At 47.8% G+C, this 23,389-nt stretch overlaps 1 protein-coding gene across 1 annotated transcript, besides 7 other annotated features; it reads right to left on the minus strand.

The window, feature by feature from the left end:
- Window positions 2,629-2,678: an enhancer, noted in NCBI's record as "active region_14838". NCBI's record gives its function as "activates an Ori minimal core promoter by ATAC-STARR-seq in GM12878 lymphoblastoid cells {active_cell/tissue: GM12878}" and the evidence as "EXISTENCE:reporter gene assay evidence [ECO:0000049][PMID:35858748]".
- On the minus strand, window positions 3,866-8,105 carry PNMA8C (PNMA family member 8C). Its single transcript, NM_001386793.1, has one exon. It carries the CDS (start codon window positions 7,526-7,528, stop codon window positions 6,914-6,916), a length of 615 nt encoding a protein of 204 aa, NP_001373722.1. The 5' UTR covers window positions 7,529-8,105; the 3' UTR covers window positions 3,866-6,913.
- Window positions 5,276-5,783: an enhancer, noted in NCBI's record as "H3K4me1 hESC enhancer chr19:46929364-46929871 (GRCh37/hg19 assembly coordinates)". NCBI's record gives its function as "activates a minimal SCP1, AML or CMV promoter by ChIP-STARR-seq in naive H9 embryonic stem cells {active_cell/tissue: H9 hESC(naive)}" and the evidence as "EXISTENCE:reporter gene assay evidence [ECO:0000049][PMID:30033119]".
- Window positions 5,495-5,624: an enhancer, noted in NCBI's record as "active region_14839". NCBI's record gives its function as "activates an Ori minimal core promoter by ATAC-STARR-seq in GM12878 lymphoblastoid cells {active_cell/tissue: GM12878}" and the evidence as "EXISTENCE:reporter gene assay evidence [ECO:0000049][PMID:35858748]".
- Window positions 5,784-6,290: an enhancer, noted in NCBI's record as "H3K4me1 hESC enhancer chr19:46929872-46930378 (GRCh37/hg19 assembly coordinates)". NCBI's record gives its function as "activates a minimal SCP1, AML or CMV promoter by ChIP-STARR-seq in naive H9 embryonic stem cells {active_cell/tissue: H9 hESC(naive)}" and the evidence as "EXISTENCE:reporter gene assay evidence [ECO:0000049][PMID:30033119]".
- Window positions 6,135-6,184: an enhancer, noted in NCBI's record as "active region_14840". NCBI's record gives its function as "activates an Ori minimal core promoter by ATAC-STARR-seq in GM12878 lymphoblastoid cells {active_cell/tissue: GM12878}" and the evidence as "EXISTENCE:reporter gene assay evidence [ECO:0000049][PMID:35858748]".
- Window positions 7,836-8,105: an enhancer, noted in NCBI's record as "active region_14841". NCBI's record gives its function as "activates an Ori minimal core promoter by ATAC-STARR-seq in GM12878 lymphoblastoid cells {active_cell/tissue: GM12878}" and the evidence as "EXISTENCE:reporter gene assay evidence [ECO:0000049][PMID:35858748]".
- Window positions 13,547-13,747: a silencer, noted in NCBI's record as "peak3522 fragment used in MPRA reporter construct". NCBI's record gives its function as "represses an SCP1 promoter by STARR-seq MPRAs in K562 erythroleukemia cells {active_cell/tissue: K562}" and the evidence as "EXISTENCE:reporter gene assay evidence [ECO:0000049][PMID:32103011]".

Below are 23,389 nucleotides of genomic sequence, written 5' to 3' on the forward strand. Positions count from 1 at the left end.
TTAGTAGAGACGGGCTTTCACCATGTTGGCCAGGCTGGTCTCAAACTCCTGACCTCAAGTGATCCACCCACTGTGGCCTCCCAAAGTGCTGGGAATACAGGCGTGAGCCACTGTGCCCAACCACTGCTCTGATTTCTGTCCCTATAGTGTTTTTTTAGTTTTATGTAAAAGGAAGTATATAGTGTGTGTCCTTTTTGGTCTGACTTCTTTGACTCCGCATAACGCTTCTGAGGTTCACCGATGTTGCTGTACGCATCTGAGGTTCATTCCTTTTTTTTTTTTTTTTTTTTGAGACGGAGTCTTACTCTGTCACCAAACTGTGACAGGAGGAGTGCTGTGGCACAATCTTGGCTCACCACAACCTCCGCCTCCCCGGTTCAAGCAATTCTTCTGCCTCAGCCTCCCGAGTAGCTGGGACTACAGGCACCCGCCACCACGCCCAGCTAGTTTTTGTCTTTTTAGTAGAGACAGGGTTTCACCATGTTGGCCAGGATGGTCTCGATCTCTTGACCTCATGATCTGCCCGCCTCAGCCTCCCAAGGTGCTGGGAGGGCGACCGCGCCCGGCCAGTACATTCTTTTTTGTTGCTAGGTCATATTCTGTTGCATGAATACATTGCAGTTTGTTTATTCATTCACCTGTCGTCGGCCATCGAGTTGTTTCTAGTTTTTGGTTCTTAGAAATAAAGCTGCTGCCGGGCGCCGTGGCTCACGCCTGTAATCCCAGCACTTTGGGAGGCCGAGACAGGCGGATCACGAGGTCAGGAGATCGAGACCATCCTGACTAACACAGTGAAACCCCGTCTCTACTAAAAATACAAAAAAAATTAGCTGGGCGTGGTGGCGGGCGCCTGTAGTCCCAGCTACTAGGGAGACTGAGGCAGGAGAATGGCGTGAACCCTGGAGGCGGAGCTTGCAGTGAGCTGAGATCGCGCCACTGCACTCCAGCCTGGGTAACAGAGTGAGACTCCGTCTCAAAAAATAAAAAAGAAAAAAAAAAAAAGAAAGCCTGAAGGGCGACTGAAAGTCAGAGGGAACAGCAGGTGAAGAGCTGTGTGCTCTGTGCCCACCTAGGCACATATGCCCACCCCTTCCCTGTTCCCCCCAACTTCCTGCCCCATCAGCCAGGGGTCCCACAGCACCAGAGGGCACATGCAGCTGGGATATACGTATATATATGTTTTTTTCCTTTTTGAGACGGAGTCTTACTCTGTCGCCCAGGCTGGAGTGCAGTAGCATGATCTTGGCTCACTGGAACCTCTGCCTCCCAGCTTTATGCTATTCTCCCACCTCAGCCTCCCGAGTAGCTGGGATTACAGGTGCGCAACACCACGCCCGGCTAATTTTTGTATTTTTAGTTGAGACGGGGTTTCACCATGTTGGCCAGGCTGGTCTCAAACTCCTAGCCTCAAGTGATCCACCTGCCTCAGCCTCCAAAAGTGCTGGGATTACAGGCGTGAACCACTGCACCTGGCCGGAATCACAAGTTATGTGTCGGTCACTCAGAGACTCAGAGACTGCCTTCAGAATCCCTGTTTCTCACCAAGGACTGTTGGGAGGAGGCCTCAGGGTGCTGTCTCCCTGGATCCACCAAGACCTCATTCCTCTTTGTGCTGTGCCAGCCCTCCATGTGGTGGAGCACGTGGGCTCTGGAGCTAGGCTGCCTGGGTTCAAATTCTGGCTCTATCACCCTGTGGCTGTGTGATCTTGGGTCAGTTCCTTCACCTCTCTGAGCCTTGGCTTCCTTCTCTGCAAAATGGCAGTTGTAATGAGACTTAACCTCATGGAGAGGTTGTGAGCAGTTCACGAGACCATGATAGGTATTGGCACAGAACCCAGGGATGGTAAATGCTCACAGTTATTAGAAAAGGCAGAGTGGGCCAGGCATGGTGGCTCATGCCTGTAATCCCAGCACTTTGGGAGGCCAAGGCGGGCAGATCACAAGGTCAGGAGATCGAGACCATCCTGGCTAACATGGTGACACCCTGACTCTACTAAAAATACAAAAAATTAGCCGGGCGTAGTGGCACGCGCCTTTAGTCCCAGCTACTTGGGAGGCTGAGGCAGGAGAATCACTTGAACCTAGGAGGCGGAGGTTGCAGTGAGCCAAGATCGCACCACAACACTCCAGCCTGGGCCACAGAGCGAGACTCCATCTCAAAAAAAAAAAAAAAAAAAAAAGCAGTGTGGTCTAGCTGTTTGTAGACTCAGTTCCGGTTCACATCCTGGCTCTGTTTACAAATCGTGTGGCTCTGTGCCTCAGTTTCCAAATCTGGAGAATGAGATTGTATCAGTCTCATGGTGTTGAGTCTTATGAGGATTAAATTGTTTGTGTAAAATGCTTAGAATAGTGCCTGGTAGATATGATTATTCAATATGCACGAAGATTATTCTCTGCTCTAAGCCCCCACTTAGAACCAGAGCGTGTACTGCAGTTTCAAACAGGCCCTCAGAGTGCCACCCACCTCTGGCTTGTTTCTCAAGGAATCCTGAAGAATTTCTTCTGCCCAGCCGTTTACCAGAGAAATCATGCTCTATGACTCCGATGTCAGCTGGGGCCTCCCAGACTGAGAGAGACCCGAATCAGTGTGAGGAGCACAGAATGTGGTCAGAGGCCTGTTTTCAATTCCTGTTGTGCTTTGCTCTGTAGCCTTAGACAAGTTACTTAGCCTTTCTGAGCTTTACTTTCTTCATCCATAGAATGAGATGATGATCTTAATAATAGTACAGTTTGATAATCTAATCTCTTATCTGGTCTTTTTTTTTTTTTTGAGATGTAGGGGGGTATCACTCTGTCATCCAGGCTGGAGTGCAGTGGTGCAATCACAGTTCACTGCAGCCTTGATCTGCTGGCCTCAAGCGATCCTTCCACCTCAGCCTCCAGAGTAGCTGGGACTACAGGTGCATGCCACCGTGCCTAATTTTTTTTTTTTTTTTTTTAGTTTTTGTAGAGATAGGGGTCTTGCTGTGTTGACCAGGCTGGTTTTGAACTCCTGGCCTCAAGCAATTCTCCCACCTTGGCCTCCCAAAGTACTGGGATTACAGGCGTGACCCACTGCACCTAGCCCACTACAGAAGTATTGATGGGATTATAAGGGCTTCCCGCATCCCCCTGGGAAGTAAATTCTACAATATAAGGTATAGTCACTGTATCATTTTTCTAAAATCCAAAACTCTGAACCACATATACCCCTGAAACCACACCTGGCTGAGGGTTTTTATAAGGGATTGTGGACCTATAGGGCCATAACTCACAGGGTTGGCAGGATATGATGGGTTAATGATATGAAGGAATGTGGCATAGTGCCTGGAACACAAGATAGCTGTTACTGTTTTTGTTTCAGTTAAATTGTTTCACCTTTCACACCAGCCACTGGAAAATGACCTGACATCCTGAGAAGTCCGTAGGATAAAAGAAAGCTGTGTTTCCGCCGGGCGCGGTGGCTCACACCTGTAATCCCAGCACTTTGGGAGGCAGAGGCGGGCAGATTACGAGGTCAGGAGATCGAGACTATCCTGGCTAACACGGTGAAACCCCGACTCTACTAAAAATACAAAAAAATTAGCCAGGTGTGGTGGCAGGTGCCTGTAGTCCCAGCTACTTGGGAGGCTGAGGCAGGAGAATAGTGTGAACCCGGGAGGCGGAGCTTGCAGTGAGTCAAGATCACGCCACTGCACTCCAGCATGGGCAACAGAGAGAGACTCTGTCTCAAAAATAAATAAGTACATAAAAATAAAAATAAATGCAGTCCTGGAAGACTTCAGGCCATGGAAGCAGTTTTCAGTACTTGTTTTAGCAGCCACATCATTTTTCCAAATTAAATCTTACATGGATTTCCCCCCATATGTCAAGGGGCAGACTATGATTTCATTAGCATACATTTATTTTATGAGTTCATATTTGTACAAAAGAGCATCTCAATCACAAAGAACAATGAAGAGTTTTAGCTGAACCCCCTTTTGAAATCAGGGGTTTACAGAAGCCAGATGCAGCCCTCCAACAGCTGGCACATTCAATTTACTTGTGAATTTTTGCTTGGGATTTGCCCTACCAGTGATGTTTTCACTCAGCTAAGTAGCTTCAAATGGTGACAGTTTTGCATGACAACTTGCATTGGAGTCCCAGGATACACTTTGGTCCAGAAAATCTTGAAAGAGAAGTGGTAGGATTTTGATTTCATGGGCAACATTGAACAACCACGCATGTTGTGTATCACAAATATAAATGTTATACCCCTGAAATCCACAATAAGCACAAAATACAGTCTTCATGCTGCAATATGATAAGAAATGTCACACTATCCCTTATTATACAACGATTATGCCTTGATGGGAGAGCAGCATGCAACAAACACGCTGGAGGCTTTCGTAGCATTTATTCAAGCTCAGACTCTGGGATGCAATAACGAACACAGTAGTACAATATTCTGCGAGTGGGTATGCCCAGGCTGGGCATTTACAAGGAATAGAAAAATCAGGCCGGGCGTGGTGGCTCACGCCTGTAATCCCAACACTTTGGGAGGCCGAAGTGGGCGGATCACAAGGTCAGGAGATTGAGACCATCCTGGCTAATACGGTGAAACCCTGTCTCTACTAAAAATACAAAAATTAGCTGGGCGTGGTGGTGCGCACCTGTAGTCCCAGATACTCAGGAGGCTGAGGCAGGAGAATCACTTGAACCCAGGAAGCAGAGGTTGCAGTGAGCCAAGATCGTGCCACTGCACTCCAGCCTGGGCTACAGAAGGAGACTCCACCTCAAAAAAAAAAAAAAAAAAAAAAAAAGAATCAACAGAGAAGCTGGGCGCAGTGGCTTACACCTGCAATCCCAGCACTTTGGGAGACCAAGGCGGGAGATTGAGACCATCCTGGCCAACATGGTGAAACCCTTTCTCTAGTAAAAATACAAAATTTAGCTGGACGTGGTGGTTCATGCCTGTAATCCTAGCTACTAGGGAGGCTGAGGCAGGAGAATCGCTTGGACCAGGGAGTCAGAGGTTGCAGTGAGCTGAGATTGCACCTCTGCACTCCAGCCTGGTGACAGAGCGAGACTCTGTCTCAAAAAAAAAAGACGTTAGGAGTCTCTGACATTACAATTTGGTAGGCTGAGTCTTTGTGTTGTGTGTAAGTTACATTTTTGAAAAGAGATTCAGTCAAACCTTTGCAGATCCTTGAACTAACAAGTTTGCAAATTGACAGGTCCGTTGTCTCTGAGCAAAAGATCTGCCTACTCACATGTATTTGGATTTTACCTGATTTTTAAAATTCTTCTTCACCTCAGTGTTAACGTCGTTCATTGGTAACTCTTGAAAATGGCCTCTTAATGATTTACCTCCTTTTGGACCATTGCCCAGAAGCCTTGCCTCTTCTTTAGAGAGTGGAGTTCACTCCTCCTCACCAAGCCAGAGCTTCTGGAATTTAACTTGGGGAGACTCACACCCTCACCCCAGGCGCCAATCGGGGCAGAAGGGTCCCGCTTCTGACCACTTCTGTAAGAGAGACTCAGCGTGTAGAGAAAGACGACAGCTTTTCAAGAGCCGCTTACAGATCAGTGAGTTCCTCAGAGGTGGGGAGCAGGCAACTCACTCTCAGCCATGGTTTCTGCTTGACATGCGCAAAACAGGGTGGCCCACTCCGAACAAGTTTGTGCCAGAGGTACATTCAAGGTACATGCTTTTGAAACACAGAAAACGGCTCTAGACTTTGCAATAACAGGATTTCCAGGAGGGCGCAAAGCTAGAGGGGTCCGTGCCGCCCGCCTCCCCCCAGCAAGAGAGGCTGTCCCCAGAATCAGGCCGTGGGTGACAGCCGAAGGAGGATGGCGGCCCTTCTCCCGAGTAGGGATCTCCCTGACACGTTCCTCCTGGGTCTGCGTGAGTTTTCTTCAACTCCAGTAAGAGATCTGCAAAACCTTGGAATCCAGGACCGTTTCCACCTCCTCCATTTTCTGCAAAGGGCGCAGGCGCCTGGGGTCAGCCTGTGGTCTCCATAGCAACGGTCGGACGCGCTGCTAGGTTCTGGCTCTGACTGCGCCTGCGCGGCTGGTCCCGCGGGGTCTCCCGAGTAGCGGAAGATATTTGTGGGTCTTTGAGACCCTTCCTCGCTTAGAAATTACTCTCATCTACTCAAATGATACCCATACACATATTCAGGTGTTACCCGCACACTCTCAAATATTACCCACAACTACTTTCAATTATACGCGGATGCCACCCACACACTCTAATGCTACCCACACTCACTAACGTGTATTCAAGTAACCCAAATGTTACCCGCACCTACTCAAATAGCTACTATGAGAGTCACGGGCAAGGTTTTGGTCTGTTTATTCCCCTTCTGTATCCCCAGTGCCTGGCACACTGTAGGTCCTCAGGAAATTTTGTTGGTTGCATGGATACATGGATGAATGAGCAATCCACACTCAACCAGATTTTATGATCATTCAGCTGTTACCCACATGTACTCAAATGCTACCTACGCTCACTCTGATGTCTCCAAGTAATTCAAATATTACCCACTTACTCTGAGTGCCATGAAGGCAGGGATTTTTATTGAGTTTACTCCCTTCCATATCCCCAGCTCCTGGAACATAGTAGGTATGCAATAAATATCTGTAAGATGAATAAATGAGCCACGGGCACCCAGACGTTAACCACACCCACTCAGATGTAACCCACAAGTTAGTTAACTCAGATAAAGATATCCACCTCTTTCGCACTAGTCAGATGTTACCTGTGCTATCCAAATGATACCCATTCTTACTCCAAAGTTACCCACTCACTAGAGTCATTCCCACCCTCCCTTGCATTACCCACACTCACTCGCACTCCTTAAACGTAGTGAGGTGGTACCTACCCTCCCACAGTCATCACCCACACCCCCTCAGACACTCCCCACGCCCACCCGATGCCACCACCTCACAGCTTCTTGTCTGAGGCGTGATGCCGCCGGCGGTTTTTCTTGTTCTTCCTTTTGCCCCTCTTGCCAACTCCAGCCTTGCTCTCCTTCTCGGAGGAGTCCAGAGGTGGCACCACGTCCATCTGGACGGTGGCCCCAGCCTCCGGTTTCTCCCCCAGCCCAGGCACAGAGCACTTTCTTGCAGGCAGCTCTCTGGGGCCCGTGGCTGGGGGACACAGTTCCTGCCTCAGGACCCGGGCCATATCCTCCACCGTCCTGCCCTCGCTCTGCAGAAAGAGGTTCAGCTTGGTCAGGAATTCAATGTCCTGCTTCCGGGGCATGTAGACCACTCTCCACACACCGCCCTTGCCCTTGATCTCCCTGGGGACCACGGCGTAATTGATGTCCTCCGTCAGCTGAATGATGGCCGCCTTGGATTTATCTTCTTCCAGATAGGCCTTCCCAGCCACTTCGAACTTGCCTAGAGGTTTGAGGGGCAGCCGAATAATCTCTTCGAATTCCTCGTGGTTGCAGTCCTCCGGGATCCCCAGGATCATCAGGGACTTGTAACTGTCCACCTCCAGGGCCTTGCACCCGTGCTCCAACAGTGCAATGTCCTTCACCCCGAACAGCATCTTGCCCAACTCTTTGAGGCAGCAGTATGCCCGCTGGTGGACACCTGAGCTGCCTCGGGAATCCACGAAATTATCCAGGATGCCGCGATTCCTTCCCAAAGGCTACGAGAGAGTGAGGCCTCAGGGGCCGGAGGCCGCTCCCAGGACCCCTTCGTCCAGCTCAGTGAAGGATGCCCCCAGCCCCTGCCTGCAGGGCTGTGCAACGTCGGGGCTTCTGTGGCTCCCTCTGAGTGGGCTCGAAGATTCCCAGGGACTTACGCGTGCTGGAGAAGCAGAAGGCGGTGTTTGCCACCTGACTCGTGGCTCCCGGGTCCTGGGCAAGGCTGCACCAAGGAGGGTCTAAAGATGATGCTTCCCCTTTCTTGGCGTGGCCTCCGAAGGTCTCACAGGCCCCAACGGTCTCTCCGGATCTGGGACTGCTGATCTCCCTGGGACAACTGCCAACAGAGTGTCGTAGGCGCGGCCCTGGCAGGCAGGGAGGCGCGTCCCTCACCGCTGGCCCAGAGGTTGCACTCAGTGCCCTGTCGCCGGACTAGGACGAGGATGTGGCCGCTGCACTTGCTCCCGCGGTGACGTCACCGCCTCCTTCCGCTCTGCGGCCTGGCGGTCTCCATGGCAACCGCTGAAGCATCCATCTCCTCTGCCATTGGCCGACTGGCCGCATTGAAATCAAGAGTCTGAGGGGGTCATTCGGAGGTGAGGGGTCGGCCACCAGCCCTCAGAAGCGCCCGCGATTCTCCTTTGAATAATAGCCGATTCCAGGGGTGAGGGGACAGCGAATGTACAAGAGGCACCCGGGGCATCTTTTGGGGTCAGAAAGTAAGGAAGTGATTAAAAAAAAAAAATGAGAACACCTGGAAAGACAGAGGAACCAGCCTGAAATGCTCCCACTGGCCAACCCTGGGACAATTTGAGCATCAACGTTAAAAATGAAAGTAACAGATTATAACCCCTTGAATAAAATTAGAATCTATGAGTTGATGTAGATATAAGCACGTGAATGCAAAGTTTGGTGAAGAATGTGAACTATCAAAGTACCTGCCCATATAATACTCATCAAAGGGAACAAATGTATCTTTACAGTGGAATGTTCTTGCATGTAGGACACACACACACACACACACACACACTATAATATTCAGAGCGATATGACAATTTAGACTCAAAATGCTTCAGAGGATAAAACATTCTTTTTTTTTTTTTTTTTTTTTTGAGATGAAGTCTCCCTCTGTTGCCCAGGCTAGAGTGCAGTGGCCCGATCTTGGCTCATTGCAACCTCTGCCTCCCCAGTTCAAGCGATTCTCCTGCCTCAGCTTCCCAAGTAGCTGGGATTACAGGCATGTGCCACCAAGCTCAGCTAATTTTTGTATTTTTAGTAGAGATGTAGTTTCACCATGTCGGCCAGGCTGGTCTTGAACTCCCAACCTCAGGTGATCCATCCACTTCGGCCTCCCAAAATGCTAGGATTACAGGCCACAGCCATTGCACCTGGCCGCGAAAACATTCTTTATACTATATTTGCAACTCTTCTGTAGGTTTATGGTTGTTTCAAATAAATGTTTAAAAATAAATAAGAAATGTCTCCCCCATGTGATGACATCCACAATGTCTATTCCTCTCCTCCCCAGTCCCCATTAATAAAGCCAAAACATTTGGGTTAGGTCGACACCCTTTATACCCCCAGTTCCAGGGATAAGCCCTGATTGGCTTGAACCAATTAGCATAATCTCACCCTCCTTCCCACAGTGATTGGTTCAGAAATGGTCACCCAGGTAACCTGGACAAAAAGCAATTAGTGCTTAATATGCCCCTCTTCTCTGAGATTGGTTAAAGGTTAGACACGTGAACTCAGTAAGTCCAGTCAGAATGAAGGTAAGGATTTCTGCAACTGGTAAGCGGAGGAAGACTCTCTCTTTCCTCCTAGACGTGAAAGACTAAGTATAGGAGCTACAGGAGGCTGTCTTGGAAGCATGACAAACTCTCTTCCTTCCTTCCTTCCTTCCTTCCTTCCTTCCTTCCTTCCTTCCTTCTTTTTTCTTTCTTTCCTTCTTTCTTTCAGACAGAGTCTTGCTCTGTCGCCCAGGCTGGAGTGCAGTGGCGCGATCTCGACTCACTGCAACCTCAACCTCTCAGGTTCAAGCAATTCTCCTGCCCCAGCCTGTAAAACAGCTGAGATTACAGGCGCCCGCCACCACGCCCGGCTAACTTTTTGTGTTTTTAGTAGAGACAGGGTTTCACCATGTTGTCCAGGCTGGTCTCAAACTCCTGACCTCAAGTGATCCACCTGCCCCGGCCTCCCAAAGTGCTGGGCTTACAGGCATGAACCACCGCGTCCAGCCAATAAACACTTTGAGGATGAACTTTGCATCTAGAGGAAGGCAGAGTTGAGGGAACAACCAGAAACCAGGCCATAGTCAGGAAGACATCATATGCCTCAGGATCAAACAACACCTGAAACCGACATCCCCTGAAACTTTGTTTTTACACGTAGTCAGAAGTGCACGAATTATAAATGAAAATCCATTAACTGAACACATGGTGTAACCAGCACCCAAATCAGTAAATGAACATCATAGCATTCCCAGAGGATATCCTGTGCTTTCTCCAAATCACTATATCCTCTTAAGGGAAGCCACTATCTTGACTTTCAACAGCATAGGTTAGTTTTGCCTGTTTTTGTATTTTACATAAATGGAATCACATATTACGTGGTCTATGTTTCTTGGTGAACATATATGTACATATCCATTAGTTTTAAGCCTGAACAAATGCCTTAGCAGATTCTACAAGTTTCCCAAACTGGTCGTACCATTTTATTCTCCCACCAAACAGTGTAAAAAAAAAAAATCCAGTTTCGCCACATGCTCATCAATACTAGATTTTTTTTTTTCCTGAGATGGAGTTTTGCTCTTGTTGCCCAGGCTAGAGTACAATGGCACGATCTCGGCTCACTGCAAGCTCCGCCTCCCGGGTTCACGCCATTCTTCTGCCTCAGCCTCCCGAGTAGCTGGGACTACAGGCGCCCACCACTAGGCCCGGCTAATTTTTTTGTATTTTTAGTAGAGACGGGGTTTTACCGTGTTAGCCAGGATGGTCTCGATCTCCTGACCTCGTGATCTGCACGTCTTGGCCTCTCAAAGTGCTGGGATTACAGGCGTGAGCCACCGCGCCCGGCCTGATGCCTCCGGTTTTATAGTCAGGAAAACCGAAGATCAGAGAGGTTAATTCACTTACCTAAGGTCACACAGCTAGTGAATGGCAAAGCTAGACTTCCCGCCTCAGCACCCTGACTCCTGGGCGCACAGATTTAACATTATACAATACCATGGAGTTCCCTGAGAAAGGGGTCCCATATTGTGTCACGCGGCTTAGTTCCTGTTCTGTCGTGAAGTTTCTGGATGACAGTTCCCTCTCTGGGCTGTATGTTGATTTTGTTCAGTGCCAGTTTAGCTAAGCTGGGCTTGTGTGTCCTAGAATAGCTTTCTGCAGGTGGCTGTTGGTTAGAGTCGTCTAAAAGAGAAATGTGCATTAGATTTACACAGCGGCTGGTGCTGTGAGAAGGTCTGCACAGGGTGCCACATGGCTCATGCATTTCATGACTGGTCTGTGGGCTCACCTTATTGGCTTGGGGCAGCCTCTGGGACTCCACCTGCTCCTGCCGGTCTCCTTTTCAGCGTCGGTGAACTTGGGGCCAGCACCGGAGCAGCTCTGTGGGGGCAAAAGGCACCAGCTTCCCCTGCAGGTCAAGCGTGGAATTGAGGTTGAAGGTGGGAAAAGAGACGTTGGTTGGGGGCGGGGGTTCCAGTTTGTCTTCAAGGATTCTAATTTTTTTTTTTTTTTTTTTTTTTTTTTGAGACGGAATCTCGCTCTGTTGCTCAGGCTGGAATGCAATGGTGCCATCTCTGCTCACTGCAACCTCCACCTCCCGGGTTCAAGCGATTCTCCGGCCTCAGCCTCCTGAGTAGCTGGGATTACAGGCACCCGCCATCATGCCCAGCTAATTTTTGTATTTTCATAGAGATGGGGTTTCACCATGTTGGCCAGGCTGGTCTCGAACTCCTGACTTCAAATGATCCGCCTGCCTCAATCTCCAAAAATGCTGGGATTGCAGGAGTGAGCCACCGCACCTGGCCTAGATTGTTCTTGTAGGTTCCAATTTGTCCTCTCTGTCCCGGTTCAGTTTCTAAATTGCCCAGCAGACTGGCCTACAGAGACTTAAAACCCAATACTAGTCACAGAAAAAAAAACTTTGATACACCCCTCCTCCAGCAACCCTAGCGCTCCCTGGTTAGTAATTTTTTTTTTTTTTTTTTTTTTTTGGAGATAAGGGTCTCTCTATGTTGCCCAGGCTGGTATCAAACTCCTGAGTTCAAGTGATTCTCCCACCTCGGCCTCCCAAAGTGTTGGGATTACAGGCCTGAGCCACCACGCCCAGCCTCAGTAACTTTTAAACAAGATCTCGCCATCCCTATATTATTATTATTATTTTGCCATCACGAATATAGTTTATTTTTAAATTTTTAATTTTTAATTGTGCGGGTACATGGTAGCTGTATATATGTATGGGGTTCACAAGATATTTGATACAGGCATGCAATGAGAAATAATCACATTGTGGAGAATGAAGTCGCCATCCCCTTAAGAACTTATCCTTTGTGTGACAAACAATCCAATTACATTCATTTAGCTATTTTGAAATGTACTATTATTATTAACAATAGTCATCCTGTTGTGCTATCAAATAGTATGTCTTATTCATTCTTTCTATTTGTGTTGAGTATTGTACCCATTAACCATCCCCACCTCCCCCATCCATCCCGCCGACGACCCTTCCCAGCCTCTGGTAACCTTCTGTCTATATGTTAAAAAAAAAAAAAAAACTGCTTTTTTTGTTTTGTTTTGTTTCGAGATGGAGTCTCACTCTGTCGCCCAGGCTGGAGTGTAATGGTGCGATCTTGGCTCACTGCAACCTCTGCCTCCCAGGTTCAAGTGATTCTCATGCCTCAGCCTCCCTAGCAGCTGAGATTACAGGCACGCGCCACCACGCCTGGCTAATTTTTGTATTAGTAGAGATGGGGTTTCACCATGTCAGCCAGGCTGGTCTGGAACTCCTGACCTCAAGTGATCCACCCGCCTCGGCCTCCCAGAGTGCTGGGATTACAGGCGTGAGCCAACATGCCTGTCCTCGTTCAATTGTTTTGATTATTTTAATTCCCACAAATAAATGAGAACATGCCGTTTGTCTTTCTGTGCCTGGCTTATTTCACTTAACATAATGACCTCCAGTTCCATCCACGTTTTTGCAAATGGCAGGATCTCATTCTTTTTCATGGCTGAATAGTACTCCATTGTGTATAAGCACCACATTTTCTGTATCCATTCTTCTGTTGATGGACACTCAGGTTGTTTCCAAATCTTCACTGTCGTGGACAGTGCTGCAAAAAATATGGGAGTGCAGAGATCTCCTTAATCTACTGATTTCCTTTCTTTTGGGTATATACCCAGCAGTGGGATGGCAGGATCAATTTTTAGCTTAATTTTTAGTTTTGAGGAACCTCCAATTTACATTCCCACCAACAGAGTATGAGGGTTCCCTTTTCTCCACCAGCATTTGTTCTTTGCTGTCTTTTGGATATAAGCTTTTTTTTTTTTTTTTGAGACGGAGTTTCACTCTTGTTGCCCAGGCTGGAGTGCAATGGTGCAATCTCGGCTCACTGCAACCTCCGCCTCTCAGGTTCAAGCAATTCTCCTGCCTCAGCCTCATGAGTAGCTGGGATTACAGGCATGCTCCACCACGCCTGGCTAATTTTTTGTATTTTTGGTAGAGACAGCGTTTCTCCATGTTGGTCAGGCTGGTCGTGAACTCCCGACCCCAGGTGATCTGCCCGCCTCAGCCTCCCAAAGTGCTGGGATTACAGGCGTGAGCAATTGCATCTGGCCAGATATAAGCTATTTTAACTGGGGTGAGATGGATATCTTTATCTTATTTTAGTTTTGACCACCATCCCTTTCTGGGTCCTCACCTCCCCAGATTCACCCCCAATTGTCTAAGATCCAATCACATAATGTTTCTTATCCCACGTGGCTCATAGCAGACCTCCTTCTGCTTAACACGGACCAATCCTGAACAACCATGACTCTTCCTTTATAAACATCAGTTGCACTAACATACTACTTTTCAGGTTTTCCAGTAGAGAGAAAACAAGGGAAGTGTGCCCTCTCATTTAGGGGTTTTAGGAACCAGCTCTTCCACAGAGATTTCTTTTAAGTCTAATTTTGTCATAAAAAATTTTGCATTCGAGCCGGGCGTGGTGACTCACACCTGTAATCCCAGCACTTTGGGAGGCTGAGGCGGGTGGATTACCTGAGGTCAGGAGTTCGAGACCAGCCTGGCCAACATGACAAAACCCCATCTCTGGTAAAAATACAAAAATTAGCCGGGTGTGTTGGCACACACCAGTAATCCCAGCTACTTGGGAGACTGAGGCAGGAGAATCACTTGAACCTGGCAGGTGGAGATTGCAGTGAGCCAAGATTGCGCCACTGCACTCCAGCCTGGGTGACAGAGTGAGACTCTGTCTCAAAAAAAAAAAAAAAAAAAAAATTCACATTCGACTCCATGACATGACCATTTTAATACAAAGATGAGTTTTCCTTCCAAAGATGAAGTAAAATTGTTGATCCAAAATATTTGCCACGAGTTTATGAATCCTTGACACGCCATTGCATATCCCTGGGCTTATGCATGTTCCCAATTGAGAAGCAAGGGAAGAGAATGGTTCATTTATTTGATCCACCAGGATTTACTGAGAAGTGTCCTTGTTCTAGGCTTGGGTAACGTGCTGGGCATACTTGAGTGAGGGAGACAGGCTCTGCTTTGAGGAGCTCAGTCCAGTGGTTACGACAGGCTGGCTCAGTCTGTTTACAGGCAGGGAGAGAAGCCCTATAATTACTACGATGTGTTCCGATCCTGGTGTGGGGTGTAGAATACAGAATATATCAAGTGGGCTTAGTTTTCCTGGAACATGTTTTGCTAGAGTTTAAAGAGAGAACCGCATAAAGTCCTTTGGCGGCCCTGAGATACCTGACTGACATAATTACTGTATCAGTAACCTTTTTATTAATTCACTCTTCAACGTCTCTGATTAATTCTCCATAAAGGAATTCATCTGTCTGGTCTCATCTGGGAAGGCTTCCCGCAGGAGGTGACATTTGAGAGAAATCTTGATGGATGCATATAATAACCACAAATAATACTATTTTAAAAAGTAATAACTGCTAACTTTTGCATAGGGCATACTAAAATATTCTAAGCCTTCTATGTGTACTAAGTCATCTAATTTTTACAACAGTCCATGAGTTAGATGTTTTATTGATTCAATCATTTATTCATTCAACAAGTATTTATTGAATAGTTCCTGTATCTTATAGTCAGGAAAACTGAGGACCAGAGAGGTTAAATCACTTACCTGGGGCCACACAGCTAGTGAGATTTTTTTTTTTTGAGATAGGGTCTTGCTCTGTTGCCCAGGCCGGAATGCAGTGGCGCAATCATGGCTCACTGCAGCCTCAACCTCCCAGGCTCAAGCAATCTTCCCACCTCAGCCTCCTGAGTAACCGAGACTATAGGCGCATGCCACCACACCTAGCTAACTTAATTTTTTTTTTTTTTTTTTTTTGTAGAGACAGAGTCTCACTATGTTGCCCAGGCTGGTCTCAAACTCCTGAGCTCAAGCAATCCTCCTGGCTCAGTCTCCCAAAGTGCTGGGATTACAGGTATGAGCCATTATGCCTGGCCAAATGAGTTTTGTTTTTTTTTTTTGGGGGGACGAACTCTCGCTCTGTGGCCCAGCCTGGAGTGCAGTGGCGCGATCTTGGCTCACTGCAACTTCCGCCTCCCGGGTTCACTCCATTCTCCTGCCTCAGCCTCCCGAGTAGCGGGGACTACAGGTGCCCGCCACCACGCCTGGCTAATTTTTTGTATTTTTTTTAGTAGAGACGGGGTTTCACCACGTTAGCCAGGACGGTCTCGATCTCCTAACCTCGTGATCCGCCCGCCTCAGCCTCCCAAAGTGCTGGGATTACAGGCGTGAGCCACCGCGCCTGGCCTTTTTTTTTTTTTTTTTTTTTTTTTTTTTTTTGAGACGGAGCCTCGCTCTGTCACCCAGGCTGGAGTGCAATGGCGGGATCTCAGCTCACTGCAACATCCGCCTCCCAGGTTCAAGTGATTCTCCTGCCTCAGCCTCCCGAGTAGCTGGAATTACAGGTCCCCACCATTACGCCCAGCTAATTTTTGTATTTTTGGTAGAGAGGGGGGTTTCTCCATGTTGGCCAGGCTGATCTCGAACTCCTGAGCTTAGGTGATCTGCCCACCTCGACCTCCCAAAGTGCTGGGATTACAGGCATGAGCTACCACGCCTGGCCGAGATTTTTACAATTTGATTTAGCTTAATTTTTTTCCATGAATTTTCTGTTTGTATCTTTTACCCATTTTTATTAAAAAATGGGGTTTCCTTTTTTGCTGAAGAGTAAAAAAGCTTTACAGATAAAGGAAATTAGCATATTATCACACCACATGTAATAGCTTAGTTACTTGTTTTTTGTTGGTGGCTTTTTTTTTTTTTGAGATGCAGTCTCATTCTGTCACCCAGGCTACAGTGCAGTGGCCGATCTCAGCTCACTGCAAGCTCCGCCTCTCAGGTTCATGCCATTCTCCTGCCTCAGCCTCCCAAGTAGCTGGGACTACAGGCGCCTGCCACCACGCCTGGCTAATTTTTTGTATTTTTAGTAGAGACGGGGTTTCACCATGTTAGCCAAGGTGGTCTCGATCTCCTGACCTCTTGATCTGCCTGCCTCAGCCTCCCAAAGTGCTGGGATCACAGGCGTGAGCCACCGCGCCTGGACGATGGAGTTTTTTTTTTTTTTTAAATAATCTATATATATATATTTATTATTATTATTTTATTTTTGAGATGGAATCTCACTTTATTGCCCAGGCTGGAGGGCAGTGGTGTGATCTCGGCTCAATGCAACCTCCGCTTCCCAGGTTCAAGCGATTCTCCTGCCTCAGTCTCCTGAGTAGATGGTATTACAGGCGTGAGCCACCACGCCTGGCTATTTTCTTCGTATTTTTAGTAGAGTCAAGGTTTCACTATGTTGGCCAGGCTGGTCTTGAACTCCTGACCTCAAGTGATCCACTTGCCTCAGCCTCCCAAAGTGCTGGGATTGCAGGCGTGACCCACCGCGCCCGGCCTTGGCTAAGTTACTTGTTGGTTAGAGTCTAGGTTCTGGGGATAGAGCAATGAATGAGATGGACAAAATCCCCTGATTTCCAAAAGCTGACACTGTATTGGGCCGACAGAGCAGGGACAAATAAATAAGATATATAATATGTCATGTGGTGATCAGGATTGGTTACGGGGAAAAATAAAGCAGGAAAGACAGAGAAGGGCCAGGACTCACGCCTGTAATCCCGCCACTTTAGGAGGCCAAGGCAGGAGGACTACTTGAGCCCAGGAGTTTGAGACCAGCCTGGGCAACAAAGTGAGACCCCAGGCTGCAGTGAGCTATGATGATACCACTGCACTCCAGCCTGGGAGACAGAGTGAGATCCCATCTCAAAAGAAAAAATTAAATTAAAAAGACAGACAGAGGGCCGGGCATGGTGGCTCACGCCTGTAATCCCAGCACTTTGAGAGGCCGAGGTGGGCGGATCACGAGATCAAGAGATGGAGACCATCCTGGCTAACACAGTGAAACCCCGTCTCCACTAAAAATACAAAAAATTAGCCGGGCATGGTGGCGGGCGCCTGAAGTCCCAGCTACTCGGGAGGCTGAGGCAGGAGAATGGCGTGAACCCGGGAGGCGGAGCTTGCAGTGAGCCGAGATCGCGCCACTGCACTCCAGCCTGGGCAACAGAGCGAGACTCTGTCTCAAAAAAAAAAAAAAAAAAAGAGAGAGACAGAGCGAGAGAGACAGGCATAGAGAGTGTGTATTGGGAGAGGATGTTATAATTTACAGTGTGCCAAGTAAAGGTTTCATGGAGGTGACATTTGGAGCAAAGACCTGAAGGAGGTGAGAGAGCCACCTTGTGAACATGTGAGGGAACTGTGTTCCAAGCAGAAGGAACAGTCAGTGCGGCCGGGCACGGCGGCTCACGCCTGTAATCCCAGCACTTTGGGAGGCCAAGGCGGGTGGATTGCCTGAGCTCAGGAGTTCAAGACTAGCTGGGCAACATGGTGAAATCCTGTCTCTACTAAAATACAAAAAATTAGCCGGGCGTGGTGGCGGGCGCTTGTAGTCCCAGCTACTCGGGAGGCTGAGGCAGGAGAATGGCTTGAACCTGGGAGGCGGAGCTTGCAGTGAGCCGAGATCCCGCCACTGCACTCCAGCCTGGGTGACAGAGCGAGACTTCTTCTCAAAAAAAAAAGAAAAAAAAAAAGTCAGTGCAAAGGCCCTGAGGCTGGAGCCTGCCTGGTGTACTTGAAGAACAGCAGAAACCCGTGGTGCCTGGCAGCAGAGGGAGCAAGGGAGTGTTGAGAAGAAAGCCCAAGAAAAAGCAGGCCGCGCAAGAGAGGAGGTGACAGCCAGATCTTACAAGACCTCAAAGCTCCTGGTGGGGACTTGGGACTTTTCTCTGGGTGAGATGGAACACCCAAGGTGGGGAGGTTTGATGAGGTAACTGAGGGCGTTATAGGAGTTTGCCAGTCAGGAATGATGTTGGAGTAGGAGGATGTAGGTTTCTGAGAGTTGAAAAGGAACAATTAATCCTTCACACAGCAAATGTATATATTTATACATTTAACTCTGGCTCTGTTCCAAACCTTGTGTTAACAGTGAGCCCAATAGCTATTAATACAAATAGAATGTAATGCCAGGAATTTAGCCACTCATAACTTACATGAGTTATGAACTTTTTTTTCTTTTTGAGACAGGGTCTCTCTCTGTCACCCAGGCTGGAGTGCAGTGGCGTCATCCTGGCTCACTGCAATCTCTGCCTCCCGGGTTCAAGCCATTCTCCTGCCTCAGCCTCCCAAGTAGCTGGGATTACAGGAGCACACCACCACACCCAGCTAATTTTTGTATTTTTAGTAGAGATGGGGGTCTCAACATGTTGCCCAGGCTGGTCACGAACTCCTGACCTCAGGTGATACACTTGCCTCGGCCTCTCAAAGTGCTGGGATTACAGGCGTGAGCCACCACGCCCTGCCTGAGGTGTCGTTTTTGACATTTAAATCTGCAATCTAGGCTGAGGATGGTGGCGCACGCCTGTAATCCCAGCTACTTGGGAGGCTGAGGCAGGAGAATCGCCTCCACCCAGGAGGTGGAGGTTGCAGTGAGCCGAGATGATGCCACTGCACTCCAGCCTAAGTGACAGAGTAAGACTCTCTCTCAAAAAAAATTAAAAAAAAAAAAAATAAATAAATAATAAATCTCCAATCTACCTCTAACTTTATACCTTTCCAGATGGCTATTGAGTGTCTTAGTTTTATGGAGAAAAGTCCATCTCGTTTTCAATGATATGAAATTCCACTGTTAAAATGTAAATTCCCAGCTGGGTATGGTGGCTCATGCCTGTAATCCCAGCACTTTGGGAGGCCAAGGCGGGTGGATTGCCTGAGCTCAGGAGTTCAAGACTAGCTGGGCAACATGGTGAAATCCTGTCTCTACTAAAATACAAAAAATTAGCCGGGCGTGGTGGCGGGCGCTTGTAGTCCCAGCTACTCGGGAGGCTGAGGCAGGAGAATGGCTTGAACCTGGGAGGCGGAGCTTGCAGTGAGCCGAGATCCCGCCACTGCACTCCAGCCTGGGTGACAGAGCGAGACTTCTTCTCAAAAAAAAAAGAAAAAAAAAAAGTCAGTGCAAAGGCCCTGAGGCTGGAGCCTGCCTGGTGTACTTGAAGAACAGCAGAAACCCGTGGTGCCTGGCAGCAGAGGGAGCAAGGGAGTGTTGAGAAGAAAGCCCAAGAAAAAGCAGGCCGCGCAAGAGAGGAGGTGACAGCCAGATCTTACAAGACCTCAAAGCTCCTGGTGGGGACTTGGGACTTTTCTCTGGGTGAGATGGAACACCCAAGGTGGGGAGGTTTGATGAGGTAACTGAGGGCGTTATAGGAGTTTGCCAGTCAGGAATGATGTTGGAGTAGGAGGATGTAGGTTTCTGAGAGTTGAAAAGGAACAATTAATCCTTCACACAGCAAATGTATATATTTATACATTTAACTCTGGCTCTGTTCCAAACCTTGTGTTAACAGTGAGCCCAATAGCTATTAATACAAATAGAATGTAATGCCAGGAATTTAGCCACTCATAACTTACATGAGTTATGAACTTTTTTTTCTTTTTGAGACAGGGTCTCTCTCTGTCACCCAGGCTGGAGTGCAGTGGCGTCATCCTGGCTCACTGCAATCTCTGCCTCCCGGGTTCAAGCCATTCTCCTGCCTCAGCCTCCCAAGTAGCTGGGATTACAGGAGCACACCACCACACCCAGCTAATTTTTGTATTTTTAGTAGAGATGGGGGTCTCAACATGTTGCCCAGGCTGGTCACGAACTCCTGACCTCAGGTGATACACTTGCCTCGGCCTCTCAAAGTGCTGGGATTACAGGCGTGAGCCACCACGCCCTGCCTGAGGTGTCGTTTTTGACATTTAAATCTGCAATCTAGGCTGGGGATGGTGGCGCACGCCTGTAATCCCAGCTACTTGGGAGGCTGAGGCAGGAGAATCGCCTCCACCCAGGAGGTGGAGGTTGCAGTGAGCCGAGATGATGCCACTGCACTCCAGCCTAAGTGACAGAGTAAGACTCTCTCTCAAAAAAAATTAAAAAATAAATAAATAAATAAATAATAAATCTCCAATCTACCTCTAACTTTATACCTTTCCAGATGGCTATTGAGTGTCTTAGTTTTATGGAGAAAAGTCCATCTCGTTTTCAATGATATGAAATTCCACTGTTAAGATGTAAATTCCCAGCTGGGTATGGTGGCTCATGCCTGTAATCCCAGCACTTTGGGAGGCCAAGGTGGGCGGATCACGAGGTCAGGAGATCGAGACCACCCTGGCTAACACAGTGAAACCCCATCTCTACTAAAAATACATAAAATTAGCCAGGTGTGGTGGCGTGTGCCTGTAATCCCAGCTACTCGGGAGGCTGAGGCAGGAGAATAGCTTGAATCCGGGAGGCAGAGGTTTCAGTGACCCAAGATCGCGCCACTGCACTCCAGCCTGGGTGACAAACCGAGACTCCATCTCAGATAAAAAAAAAAAAAAAAGATGTAAATTCCCATATGTATTTCTGGCCCCTCTAATCTGTCCCTTTTAACCAGTTGTCTGTCCTTTTATGGGCCAGTCCCAAACTGTTTGAAAACTATACTTTTATGATCAGTTTTCAAATGCAGAAGGGCTGATTTCCTCTTACATTTTCAGAAATGTTCTGCATCTTTTCACATTTTTTTCTTTTGAACCTCAGAATCAACCTGCCTAACTTTAAAAGAGCCTTTTAGTGTTTTAAATAAGGCTAGATTAAATTCATAGACTCGGGGGGAAACCAGGTTCAACTTTTTAATACTGGATCTTCCCAAATATTCAAATCTTGTATGCTCAGCCCTAGCAGCAGTTTCAAGTTTTTTGAACTAGATCCTGTGCCATTTTTGATAAGCTCATTCCAAGATATTTTTATTATCTTTTAATTCTTGCTTGAGTAAATGCAATGTTCTTTTCTTCTGCTTGTTTTCTAAGCCAGTTTTCTGTATACTGGCACTTGTTTAGGTTGAAGATATTAATTTTGCAACCCTAGAGCCCCCTTGCTCAATTCTCATTTCTTCCAATAGTTTATGGGTTCTCTTTCAAGATATACAGTCACATTGAGGCAGGAGAATAGGGCCTGGAGGCAGGGAACCTAAGGCTGATTCACCCTGACTTCTAGAACTACATCGAAAGAAAAACCTCAACCTTCCACGCTTAAGTAACGAAAGGACCAGGGGAGACTCCTGCAAACCCCAACCTTTTCTGTGGGGCAGATGGGAAATCGAAGGTACCCCTGATTGGTTGCAGAAAGCATAGAAGTGTAACTTCCTAACTTCACTTCAGCCTCTGATTGGTTGCTGTCCACAACCACTGTCCACAACCAATCAGACTGATTGCAGGCGAGGTCTTTGTTTGCATAGAAGTGCAACTTTGTAACTTCACTTTAGCCTCTGATTGGTCGCTTTTTGCTTGCAGACCACCACTTCATTTACATGGGGTGAACACCAAGTGGCCAATGGGAGGGCCAGGTGCAGTGGCTCACACCTGTAATCCCAGCACTTTAGGAGGCCAAGGCCAGCAGATCACCTGAGGTCAGGAGTTTGAGACCAGTCTGGCCAACATGGTGAAACCCCGTCTCTACTAAAAAATATACAAAAATTAGCCAGGCATGGTGACAGACACCTGTAATCCCAGCTACTCAGGAGGCTGAGGCAGGAGAATCTCTTGAACCCAGGATGCGGAGGTTGCAGTGAGCCAAGATCGCACCATTGCACTCCAGCCTGGGTGACAAGAGTGAGACTCCATCTCAAAATAAATAAATAAATAAAAATAAGTGACCAATGGGAAACCTATAGGAGGTATTTGGACCTAAGAAGATCCTGTATCCGGGGCCCTTGAGCAGCTGCTGGGGCCTGCTCCCACACTGTGGTGTGTACTTTCACTTTTGATAAATCTCTGCTTTCCTTGCTTTGCTGTGCGTTTTGTCCAATTCTTTGTTCAAAACACCAAGAACCTAGACAACTTGCAGTCAAGACCCTCTATCGGTAACAACATCATCTCTGAAGAATAGACATGCTTCCTTCTTTCTAAGGTTCATACTCTTCTTCCTTTTCCCTATATAATTACATGAGTCATGTTCCTTGAATCTGAGCCCAGCACTCAAGGTTTTTGCTTCCTGGCACAGGGCCTGGGGCCTCTGTCCATCCTTGAAATTCTTTGCCTATCATTTTCTGCTCCAAAACGGTTATACCCAAAGGTGCTTTACCATGACTTCTCAGGCACGGAGGCATCACTCCATTGGGAGCCATTTCGGCAGGAAGCTTCTCTGACTGTCCCAAGTCCTCATTCCAATAAACATAAAAACAACAATCATATTATAGGCATTGACATGCATTCTGAAGAACCTTATATTTTGCTCAATAGCATGTTTGTTTTTTGTTGTTCTTTTGTTTTTTTTTTTTTTTTTTGAGACGAAGTCTCGCTCTGTCGCCCAGGCTGGAATGCAGTGGCAAGATCTCGGCTCACTGCAAGCTCCGCCTCCTGGGTTCTGGCCATTCTCCTGCCTCAGCCTCCCAAATAGCTGAGACTACAGGCACCCACCACCATGCCCAGCTAATTTTTTGTATTTTTAGTAGAGACAGGGTTTCACTGTGTTAGCCAGGATGGTCTCAATCTCCTGACCTCGTGATCTGCCCACCTCGGCCTCCCAAAGTGCTGGGATTACAGGTGAGAGCCACCGCGCCCAGCCTGTTTTTTGTTTTTGAGACGGAGCCTCGCTCTATTGCACAGGCTGGAGTGCAGCGGCGTGATCTCAGCTCACTGCAACCTCTGCCTCCCAGGTTCAAGCGATTCTTCTGCCTCAGCCTCCCCAGTAGCTGGGATTACAGGTGTGTGCCACCACACCTGGCTAATTTTTGTATTTGTAGTAGACACGGGGTTTCACCATGCTGGCCAGGCTGGTCTCAAAACTCTTGACCTCAAGTAATCTGCCCACTTCGGCCTCCCAAAATACTGGGATTACAGGCGTGAGCCACTGTGCCTGGTCAGTAGCATGTTAGAATTAAATGAGCCTTTTGGGAAAATTCAGGTGAGGGTAGGTTACCCAAAGACTATGCAGCCA

The sequence above is a fragment of the Homo sapiens genome, chromosome 19, assembly GCF_000001405.40.
Source record: "Homo sapiens chromosome 19, GRCh38.p14 Primary Assembly".
In the NCBI taxonomy this organism is placed as follows: domain Eukaryota; kingdom Metazoa; phylum Chordata; class Mammalia; order Primates; family Hominidae; genus Homo; species Homo sapiens.